We start from the raw sequence: 12,418 nt of genomic DNA, 5'->3' as shown, positions 1-12,418 counted from the left end.
AAAGCTCCATGAGACCTCTGCCATTCAAGCCCCACAGGAGACAATGAACCTGCTTACACACCAAGCACATCACTACTACAGTCAACATCTGAGAAAGGCGTCATACAAAAACTGCCTGTAGCCAAGGAACTCATATGAAGTCTTCACCTCTAAAAGCACTCAGAGCTGAATTAGGTTACAATCCACTATAAACGTTAAAGTCACATCGTCAAGAGGAAAAAAAGAAATAAAAACCTCCACCATGGAATAAAAAATAAATTTAAAAATAATTAGAAGAAATAGTCTATCTAAATGAAAATAAACCAGAAAAATATGGTTCTATTACATCCCCAAAATATCACACCAGCTCTCCAGCAATGGATCTAAACCAAGATAAAATCTTTGAAACACCAGAGAAAGAATTCAAAGGGTTGATTATTAAGTTACTCAGGGAGATGAAAGAGAAAGGCGAAAACCAACATAAAGATATTAAGAAAACAATTCAGAATATGAATGAAAAATTTTCTAAAGCGATAGAGATTTAAAGAAAAAACAGTTAGAACTTTTAGAAATGAAAGACACATTTAGGGAATTGCAAAATGCAGTGGAAAGTTTTAACAATAGACTAGACCAAGTAGGAAGAAAGAATTTCAGAGCTGGAAATTTCAAAACAAGGGTTTTGAAATAATGCAATAAGACAAAAATAAAAAAGAATTTTAAAAAATGAACAAAGTCTCTAAGAAATATGGGATTATGTAAAATGGACAAACCTTGGTGCTCCTGAAAGAGAAGAAAAAGCAAAATGTTTGAAAAACTTATTTAGGGGAATAATTGAGGAAAATTGCTCTACCCTTGCTAGAAGTTTAGACATCCAAAAACAGCAAACTGAAAAAAATCCTAAGAGATTCATTGCAAAAAAAGACATCACCAAGGCATCTAGTCATCAGGCTATCTAAATTCAACATGAAGGAAAGAATTCTAAGAATAGAGAGACAAAAACAGGTAAGTTATAGAAGAAAACCTATCAGACTAACGGCAAACTTCCCAGCAGAAACCTTACAAGCTACAAGGAATTGGGTTTCTATCTTTGGCCTCCTTAAACAGAATAACTTCTCAGCCAGGAATTTTGCGTCCAGCAAAAGTAAGATTTATAAATGAAGGACAAATAAAGCCTATTTCAGACAAGCAAATACTAAGGGAATTTGGCACTACCAGACTAGTCCTATAAGAAATGCTAAAAGGAGTTCTAAATCTTGAAACAAAGGTCGGTATGCACCAGAATAGAACTTCTTGAAAGCACAAAACTCACAGGACCTATAAAACAGTACCATAATGAAGAAAACAAAGTAACTAGGTAACAATCAACATGATGACTGGAACAATACCACATGTCTCAATATTAATGTTGAATATAAATGAACCAAATGCTCCACTTAAAAGATGCAGATTGGCAGAATGGATTTAAAAAAATGGTCAAACAAATATCTGCTGTCTTCAAGAGACATACCTAACAATTAAGGGATTCTTATAGACACAAGGTAAAAGATACTCCACATAAATGGAAACCAAAAGTGAGCAATAGTAGCTATCAGGTAAAACAGACTTTAAAGCAACAACTAAAGCAACAACCATTTAAAAAAGAGACAAAGAAGGTCATTATATAATGATAAAACAATCAATCCAAGAAGAAGATTTTACAATTCTAAGTATATATGACCTAACTCTGGAACTCCCAGATGCATAAGACAATTACTACTAGACCTCAGAAAACAGACAGACAACAACACAATAATAGTGGGGGACTTCAGTACTCCACTGACAGCACTAAACAGATCATCAAGACACAAAGTCAACAAATAAATACTGGATTTGAATTGTGCCCTAGAACAAATGTACCTAACAAATATTTACAGAACATTCTACCCAAGAATTGCAGAATATACATTCTTCTCATGAACACATGAAACATTCTCCAAGATAGACCATATGATAGGCACAAAACAAATCTTAATAAATTTTTAAAAATGAAAGTCATATCAAATATCTTCCCAGACCACAGTGGAATAAAACTAGAAATCAATTTCAAAGGAACCCTCAAAACTGTACAAATACATGGAAATTACACAGTTTGCTCCTGAGTGATTTTGGAGTTAACAATAAAATCAAGATGGAAATTAAAAAGTTCTTCAAAATGAATAATAACAGTGACACAATTTGTCAAAACCTCTGGGATACAGCAAAAGCAGTTCTAAGGAAAAAGCTTATGACACTAAATGCCTACATCAAAAAGTCTGAAAAATCACAAATTGACAACCTAATATCACACCTCAAGGAACTAGAGAAACAAGTATAAACCAAACCAAAGTTATCAGAAGAAATAACAAGGATCAGAGAAGAACTAAATAAAATTGAAACCAACATATGATCATCTCAATAGATGCAGAAAAAGCAGTCAATAAAATCCAGCATCTCTTTCTGATAAAATTCCTCAACAAACTAGTTATATATATATATTATATATATATTATATATATATATAATATATATATATAATATATATTATATATATAATATATATATTATATATATATAATATATATATGATTAATTAAATGAAAACTTGGTTCTTCTAAGGATAAACAAAATTGATAGAACCATTAGCTAGTTTAAGCTTAACTAGAAATGAAAATGGAGATATTACAACCAACACCACAAAAATACAAAAGATTATTTGAGACTACTATGAACACTTCTACGCACATGAATTAGAAAACCTAGAGGAAATAGACAAATTCTTGGAAATATACAATCCTCTTAGCTTGAATAAGGAAAAAATAGAAATCCTGAACAGACCAATAACAAGCAGTGAGATTGAATCATGAACAAAAAATTCACCACCAACAAAAAAAAGCCCAGGGCCAGATGGATTCAGAGCCAAATTCTACCAGACATTCAAAGAAAAATTGGTACAGTCCTACTGAAACTATTCCAAATGATTGAGAAAGAGAAAAATCCTCCCTAACTCATTCTATGAAGCCAATATCACCCTGATACCAAAGCCAGGAAGGGACATCCAAAAACAGAAAATTACAGACCAATATCCTGGATGAACATAGATGCTAAATCCTCAAGAAAATACTAGGAAATAGCACATCAAAAAGATGATATACTATGATCAAGTGGGTTTCATCCCAGGGATGCAGGTATGGTTCAACATATGCAAGTCAATAAATGTGATTTATCACATAAACAGAATTAAAAATGAAAACCATATGATCATCTCAATAAATGCAGAAAAATCATTCAATAAAATCCAGCATCCTTTCTGATAAAATTCCTCAATGTACTAGTCATATAAGGAACATGCCTCAAAATAATAAAAGCTATATGTGACAGACCCACAGCCAACATCATGCTGAATGAGGAAAAGTTGAAAGCACTCCCTCTGAGGACTGGAAAAAGACATGGATGCCTACTTTCACCACTTGTATTCAACATAGTACTAGAAGTCCTAGCCAGAGAAACCAGGCAAGAGAAATATATAAAAGGCATCAAAATTGGAAAAGACAAAGTCAAATTATCACTGTTCACCAATGATATGATTGTATACCTAGGAAACACTAAAGACTCTTCCAAAAGACTCCTAGACCTGATAAACAAATTCAGCAAAGTTTCGGGTTACAAAATCAATGTACACAAAGTAGCACTGCTATACACCAACAGCAACCAAGCTAAAATCAAATAAAGAAGTCAATCTATCCCTTTTGCACAGACGAAAAATACATAAAATAAAATACCTAGGAATATACTTAACCAAGGAGGTGAAAGACCTCTACAACAACTCCAAAATACTGCTGAAAGAAATCATGGATGACACAAACAAATGGAAATACATCTCATGTTCACGGATTGGAAGAATCAATATCATGAAAATGACCATACTGCCAAAGCAATCTACATATTCAATGCAATCTCTATCAAAATATCAATATCATTTTTCACTGAATTAGAGAAAATAATCCTAAAATTCACACAGAACCAAAAAAAGAGCCTGAATAGGCAAAGTAATCCTAAGCAAAAAGAAGAAATACCAAGGCATCACATTACCTGACTTCAAATTATGCTACAAGGCTGTAGTAACCCAAACAGCATGGTACTGGTATAAATGTAGACACATAGATCAATGGAACAAAAAAAAAGAGCCCAGAAATGAATCCAAATACTTACAACCAACTAATCTTTGACAAAGTATACAAAAGGCACCCTATTCAATAAATTGTACTGGTAAAACTGAATGGCCACATGTAAGAAAATAAAACTGGATCCCTATCTCTCACCACATACAAAAATCAGCTCAAAATAGATTAAAGACTTCAATATAAGACCAGAAAACATAAAAATTCTAGAAGAAAAACTAGGGAAAACTCTTCTGGACATTGGCCTAAGCAAAGAATTTATGCCTAAAACCCCAAAAGCAAATGCAACAACAACAACAAAAAAATGGGATTTAATTCAACTAAAAAGTTTCTGCACAGCAAAAATAATAATAATAATGATAATAATAATAATAGAGTAAACAGACAACCCCAGAATGGATTTGCATCCAACAAAGGACTAATATCCAGAATCTACAAAGAACTCAAACAAATCAGCAAGAAAAAATAAATAATCCTAGCAAACAGTGGGCAAATGACATGAATAGACATTTCACAAAAGATGATATACAAATGGCAAAGAAATGTAAGAAAAATGCTCCACATCACTAATCATCAGGGAAATGGAAATTAAAATTATGAGATGCCACCTTTGGATAAACACTTCCCTAATCCAAAGAGCCAGAGTCACTTCTCCTTTGAATCACGAGAAACTTCAGGTTACCTGATTCCACAAAGGATCTGGGTCAGCTTACAGAGACTCCAATCAACAAAACTATAAAAGGTTTATTTTTCAAGTAAAATCCTAGGGGTATGTGCATTAGAACAGGTGGGTAAGCAGAAGGGAGAAGGACTATTGAGAAGGACAAAAGCACAGGTAAGCTGGCTCTAGGATGCTACTGTATTCCGGCCAGGTTTGAACAGGAAATTTAGCTCTGTGTTTCCAGACAGCAAAATCAAAAGGAAATGTGGTTAAGTATATAATACCTATTGCCCATAATATATCCATTGTTCATTTTTTTCTCAAGAGAAACAAAAATTTTTTATCACTTAGCCTTACATGCATTATCAAACTGCAAGTGCATTTGGACAAAGGTGTGTCTTACACATCTTTGAATTTCCAACAGCACCTAATGCAGTGCCTCGCCTCTAGCAGGTGATAATTAAATAACTATCCAATTAAATTTAACTCCTTTTATTTATTCATTCAACAGATATATATTGTACATTTACTAAGTGCCTGGCACTGTGCTAGGATTGCAACAACAGAGGCTCTTCTTCTCACACAGCTTATATTCCTCAAATACTCCTTGGCATCAATTATCCTAGGGAGAATACAACATTGAACACTTCTTATGACATGAAATTCTATAAGCTTGCCAAAATCTGTCTTTGTCTATTTGTTTGATCATGTACATTTAGAGAACAGAGGTTACAAATGTACCTGGAAGCTGAAGTCATGTTTTCTTTGACCCAGTGGGTGTTTTTAATTGTTTGCCAGTTGTGACGGTTTATTTTATGTGTCAACTTGGCTGGGCTATGTTGTGCCCAGATATCTGGTCAAACATTATTCTGGGTGTTTCTATGAGGGTATTTTTGAGCAAGAGAAACCTTGAGCAGAGTTTGAGTAAAGGAAGTTTCCCCCATGTGAGTAAGCTCCTTCAGAAAGACCAGTATTCCCCAGGAAGAGAGAATTCCCCAACAGACTGCTTTCAGACTTCATCTGCAACATTGGCTCTTCTGGGTTCTGGAGAAGACTGCCTTTAGACTGAAAGTAGAATGTCAGCTTTCCTGGATCTCCAGTCTGCCAGCTCACCCTGCAGATTATAGACTTGTCAGCCTCGATAGTCATGTGAGCAAATACCTTAGAAATTAATTAATTAATTAATATCCTGTTTATTCTGTTTCTCTGGAGAATTCTGACTAATCTACCAGCATTTAAAAATGGGAAGATTTCAGGCAAGAATTTATATTTCTAGCCTACATCAGTCAGAGTCCAACCTCAGAGAAAAGAAATAACTCTGAATCTTTGACACACGAAGTACATAATGGAGAAAATTGGTCATATAGGTGAAGCGAGAACTGATAAACAGGGAATTGTGAGGGAGCATAGAGATTAGCAACAAAAGGAAGCCACTGTCACATCGAAACGGGAGAGAGAGGAGGAGGCAGATATAGGGTGTGAAGGAAGGGATGAGGAGAGAACTAAGGTCACTCAGTGGAAGCCGGAGTTGTAATAGGCCTGTCTCTCAAAAGCTAGCGTCATTTTGGAGATATTTCTGTTGCTGGAGGCATTGTTCAAGGCTGAGAGGCAGGGTTAGAAACAACCAAGTTTCTCCCTTTTTCCTCACCCCCATCTCCCACCAGTGCCTCCCATTGGTAGGACCCAGACAGAAGCCAGCTGAAATGGAATCTGGAAACCGCAGCCTATAGGAGTCAGTCTGCACAATTTAAAGCTAAGCGGTGGGAGTGGAAGAATAGACTTAAGGGCAAAAAGATTGACTTCTGAGCAGTCTCCCCTGAAAAATAAGATATTACAACATGAGCCTTGCAATCTTGCTCACACCTGTGGGCTTGAGCTGAGTAGTAGCTGTGTCCCTTAGCCTGGGCACACTCTCCTCAGTTTGCCTTAAGTTGAACCTGCCCATTTTCTTCCATTAAGTTGCCTGCCTAGACCATACAGGCCTCTGTCACAGAGACTGGAAAACACAGAATACTGAGGCTGAAAAAGTGCTATGGATTGAATGTCTGTGTGTCCTCTCAAATTCACATGTTGAAACCCTAATTCCCAATGTGATGGTATTTGGAGGTGGGGCCTTTGAAAGGTAATCAGGTCATAAAAGTAGAGCCCTCATGAATGGGATTAGTCCTCTTATAAAAAGAGACAAAAGAGATGAACTCTCCCTCCTTTTCTCATGTGAGGATAAGCAAGAAGATGACTATCTTCAAACCAGGAAAAGAGCCCTGTCTTAGTCCATTTAGTGTTGATATAAGAGAATACTTGAGACTGGGTAGTTTGCAGGGAAAAGAGGTTTATTTATCTCATAATCCTGCAGGCTGTACAAGAAACATGGCATAGGCACCTGCTCAGCTTCTGGTGAGGGCCACATATTACGTCAAAAAATGGCAGAGAAAGTCAAAGGAAAAGTAGACACATGCAAAGCAGAACTAAAATCAAGAAGTATTCTGGCCTTACAACAACTCACTCTCTCAGGAACTAATCTGTTTCTGCAAGAACTAATTCCATCTTACTAGAGCGAGAACTCACTACCAGGAGAACAACAATAAGCCATTCATGACAGATCCTCCCCCATGGCCCAAACACTTCCCAACAGGCCCCACCTCCCCACACTGCCACATTGAGGATCAAATTTCAACATGAGATTTGGTGGGAACAAACAAGCCATAACCAAGCCATAGCATTCTGCCCCTGGCCCCCCAAAATTCATGTCCTTCTCACATTCAAAACACAATTAGACAATTTTCTCTTCTAATAGTTCCAAAAGTGTTCACTAGTCCCAGTATCAAGTCAAAAGTCCAAAGTCCAACATCTCATTTGAGACTCAAGGCAAGTTCCTTCTAGCTATAAACCTATAGGGAAATTTACATTTTTCCCCTTAAGATTCAATAATTTGAGTCTATAAAACAATCTGATACTAGACAGATTAGTAGGAAAAAGGCATTCAAATTTTATGACATACATATATGTGCACAAGAGTCATATAAAATATTAAAACTCAAAGAAATGTAAGAGGGTTGACACTTTTATACCATCTTGAGGTTACAGAAGAAATGAGGGCTCTAGAGCATGGCAAAATAGGTTATGGTAGCAAAACAGGTTATGGAAGGAAGAGAAGAGGAAACACCTTACTAGCAAAGGGGTCTTACTATGCAGATGAAACCTCACAGGTAGCAGCCTTCAGAAAAAAATAAATCGTAGCCAGCAGTAAATATTTCTGTCAGAGCTTTAAATTGTCAGACTCTCAATTCATCTTTCCCAGGTCCCAACAAGGGGGGCTTCAAAGAAAGCCTGTTTCTATCTGTTGTTTACTTCACTTCATTTCCTCCACAGATGCAAACCTCTCCCTCAAAAGTCAGTTTTTCATCTGTTCTGGTGTCAGCATCTGCTCAGTTTCTGGTGAGGGTCATATGCTAGGTCTAAATATAACATAGAAGGTTAAAGGAGAAGTGAACATACACAAAGAGGAAACAAACCCAAGCATATGGGTTCATCTTGCCCACTGCCCAAAAAAGCTATTGCACTAACAGCAGGTTTTTGTGGCAAAGGACTTATGATTAACACAGGGCTAACCAAGATGAAGCTTATTACTCAAATCAGCCTCCCCAAGAACTCAGTCTAAGGTTCTTATGGATAACTTGTGGGGGGTGGGGGGGTAGGGGGGGGTGGGGGGGGGCTAGGATAAGAAATCAGGTGCTACTGATTGGTTAGGGATGAAATTATAGAGGTATGGAAAATGGTTCTTGTGCACTGAGTCAGCCTCTGGAAGGGGGTCACAGGACCAATTGAGTCATCAGGCATGGGTCTAGGTGAAATCAATTTGTCACCAGAATACAAAAATCTAAACAATCTCAAAAGACCAATCTTACATTCTGCGATAGTGATGTTACCTGTAGGAGCAATTGGTGAAATTACAAGTCTGTGGCCTCTGCTTCATGACTCCTGAGCAGTAAGGGATTATAGGAAAACAAGCTAGGAAACAACAGCTGTTTATCATTTAACTATACTTACATTTTAGCAGAATTCAGGCCCCTCTCAGAATACTAATCTTGTGACCTTTCATTGTCTTACAAAGACTGTTTCAGTCTCCAAACAAGGAGCGGATCAGTTTTAGGAAGCGACTATTATTATCCTTGCTTCACAATTAAACTGTAAACTAAATTCTTCTCATGGTTAGCTTCGTCCATGCCCAGGAATGAGCGGAGACAGCCAGCCTGTGATGCTAGAGGCAAGACGGAGGCGGCCATGCCAGACTTCTCTCACGTCATAATCTTTGCAAAGGCAGTTTCACAATGGTTGTCTTGGTTTTATAACAACTCACTGTATCAGGAACTAATTCAGTCTCATGAGTACTAATCCTGTCCCACTAGAGCAAGAATTTACTGCTGAAAGAACTGCACCAAGCCATTGATGATGACCTAAGCATCTCCCACTAGGTTTTCCCTCCCAACACCACCACAAGTTTTAACATAAGATTTGCCAGGGATAAACAAGCCGTATCCAAAACTAGCACGTCCCCACCAGGAGCCAAATCAACAACACCTTGATCTTGAGCTTCCCAGCCTCCAGAACTGTGCAAAATAAATGTTTGTTGTTTAAGTCACCCAGTCTATGGTATTTATTATAGCAGCCCCCAAACGGACTCAGAGAGGGAAACTGAAAGATCATCTAGTCCAATCTAGGTACTTATCATATTACAGAGGAGAGAGTGAAACCCAGAGGGAGACAGATTTACCTAATTTGATAGGTGGCAGAGCCAAGCTGCTCTTTCAGTTTGGTGTTCTTTCCTGTACACATCTATCTGTGGAAAGGGGAATTTAAAATTCTCCCTCTAATCGCAGAGACAGTTCCCTGGGGAATGGCTGTATTTTAAAATGCAAAACAACAACCTAGACTTTTGAATAACAAAACGATTGGTTTAAATCAGGTGGAAAACCTATTTACAAAATGGGTTTAATATAAAAAAAATCTCCAAAACCTGATCTGAAGGAATTTTGCCTTCGTGTTTTTTTTCTTTTGCTATGTCTGAACATATTCTTTTTCCTTTAAAGTGACTTTAGAAGGAATACCTAATGAAGGCTACTACAATGATGCTTTTTTATGAATTAAAATAGTTGTTTCATTGTTTTGGATGACTACACTGGTTCTCTCGGTATCTTATTCTGTTAGGTGCTCTAGCTTTTATCTAACTCAAAAGAAAATAGGGAGGGGGAATCTTTTCTGGATTACCATATGCATTTGTGTCTTTTTCTGTCTTTCCCATATTTCATCACACAATTGGAGGAAAAATAATTTGTACAGCTCAGTAATTTGAATTTTAGAGCAAGTGTTCTGAAACTTCAGACTTACCAAAGAGGTATGAACTGGGTTTAATTGAATCTTAGTTGCTTAAGTAGGTTGAGGCGTTAATGTTTATCTGATTCTTCATCATCTGCTCCTGTTTGGACTCGTAAGCCTCTTCTCTAAATTGGTTTACTCCTTTCTCAGCACAGAGATTTGCCAGGAGAAATTTCTGGAAATTCAGCAGCAGGTGTCAGTGCTGCAAAGGTCCATCCAGTCAGGTAATCTCACAGCTTCCTCTCTTCTCATATCAACTGCAAACTATTTATTATGTAGGAAATATATGCTAATAAATATGGTAATCCATATCAGTTTTAATTATTTTAGTTTGCTTCACTATTTCAATAATAAAACATTAACAACCATTTGAGTTCACTAATTCTAGATTTCCAAAAAGTGATTCCTAGAATTTTAAAAGAAAAATATTTGGTTAACAACAATATTTCATGTTAGAAGAAAAGAAGGAAGAGATTCTGTCTGGAGGAAGAAGATTAGTTTTGGATTTTTTGTTTGTTTGTCTTCTCAATATATCTCTTTTTCTTAGGGTGAAAAGCTTATGTCATTTATAAAAATGAGGTTACAAATTAGCTCACTGGTGCTCATCAGTAGTTTATTAGTCTCAATCTTATTAATAATCATACTGTTCTTTCTGGGAAGCTAATAGCAAACTGAAGATCACTTTGAAAGATAATTGGCTTTGGCTTAGTAACAAAGCCATGTTTATAGATGTCTCTGGAAAAAAAGAAACCCACACACCATCAAATAATATTAGAGTGTCATGGTCCTTATGGCCAGATTAAGACTACTTCCAGGTGTCTCCCTTCCTCAGTAAGCTTCCTGTTTCCCACCAAACCAAAACCAGAACATATTGCTGACCAAAACACAAACGGTTTATATCCAGCCTGTTCTTCCTGAACAGTATCCAACTTTATTTGGAAGCAGAAATTGCCTATTCTCTGGAGATGAGTTGTGATTAGCCAAATCAATTCTGTTCCTCACTTTCCCAGTCTCCTTGCAACTAAATATGGCCCGGTGATATAATCCTTGTCTAGAAAATATATGTGAAGGTGGCCTGATAAAGGATCTTACATGTCCTGCTCCTTCCCCATTTTTCCTGATGGCTGGACCTATAGCAGCCATCTCGTAGCCGTGAGGCAACCAACAGGAGAATGAAGGTGTACACGCGAAGAATAACAGTTCAGAATGATAGAAAGTAACTGGGTCCCTGATGGGAGAGTTGAGAAGATGAGCCTACAACAGTAACCACCTACCCCTGGAATGCCAATAATGTAAAAACAAAAATCTTAATAAATTATTGGTGTAAGCTACTGCTGGCGTTTCTAACTGCTATAACCTCCTTTTCCCAGGAAAATCCTAGAACCTTTGTCTGTGACACTATTCTTCCATTTACTCTGATAAAAATAAAAGAACAAAAACATCTTGTTGTCCATATTCTTACACCATTAAAACAACATGCACAGGGTTAGGATTTTCATCAGTTTGACAATTTACTAAAGTGTTTAATTTACTTCTGTGCCAGAAAAATCTTGTAGCTGCATCCAAACTGATTATTTATAACGTGAGATGTTATTTGAATGACAGTGTATTTTATTTTCCAATTACATTTTGTTTAAGAGGTAAAATATCCATTTATAAAACTACTGCTGCTATAAAATGGTTTTACTATTAAAATCTAGATCCCTTAATTTATTCATATAGAATCCATTATAGTATACAATTTGGATGGACTGGGGTCATAATAAGAAGTCTCTTTTAATATCAGAAACAAACAATAACAGAAGCAGATTTAATCTGTCAGCCTTAATCTTAAACTCCAGATAAATTCTGCTTTACCTATCTCAAACAAGTGAAACAAGAGTGATTAGAAGTTAATAAAATCAGTATGTAGTATAAAATAGATGCTAAATAAAGTTAATGAGTCAAGATAATATAATTCTGACTACACAGGATACTAGTTTATAGTATCTGAAGTTTCAGCAAACAAGTTGAATCCCAGCTGAGTTCCAACCTAACTATATGTACTTAATGTTCTTTAACATATAAGTTCAGGTATCCAAAATAGATAAATGAGAGCTAAAATAATAAACACTGTATAATTATTTCATACTCTTCCAAGGTTTTCATAAAATCTTTAATTGAATCCATCACAAAATTATTAATATATAAACTGGTCAATTCAAGTATC

The 12,418-nt window shown here is 36.3% G+C and overlaps 1 long non-coding RNA gene across 2 annotated transcripts in view; it reads right to left on the bottom strand.

The window, feature by feature from the left end:
- LINC01374 (long intergenic non-protein coding RNA 1374) overlaps positions 1 to 12,418 on the bottom strand; it is a 61,051-nt gene that overhangs the window by 17,786 nt on the left and 30,847 nt on the right. The window contains exon 1 of one of the 2 annotated variants that reach the window (NR_149079.1): positions 8,884 to 9,037. The exons of the other annotated variant lie outside the window; for it this stretch is intronic. This is a non-coding gene — a long non-coding RNA (long intergenic non-protein coding RNA 1374). Of the gene's footprint in view, positions 1 to 8,883; positions 9,038 to 12,418 lie in introns of those variants that run through there. 2 annotated transcript variants of the gene reach the window in all.

Source organism: Homo sapiens, chromosome 10, assembly GCF_000001405.40.
Source record: "Homo sapiens chromosome 10, GRCh38.p14 Primary Assembly".
NCBI classification, from domain to species: domain Eukaryota; kingdom Metazoa; phylum Chordata; class Mammalia; order Primates; family Hominidae; genus Homo; species Homo sapiens.
Note: the sequence above shows the minus strand (reverse complement) of the source record. Positions and strands in the feature narration are given on the sequence as shown.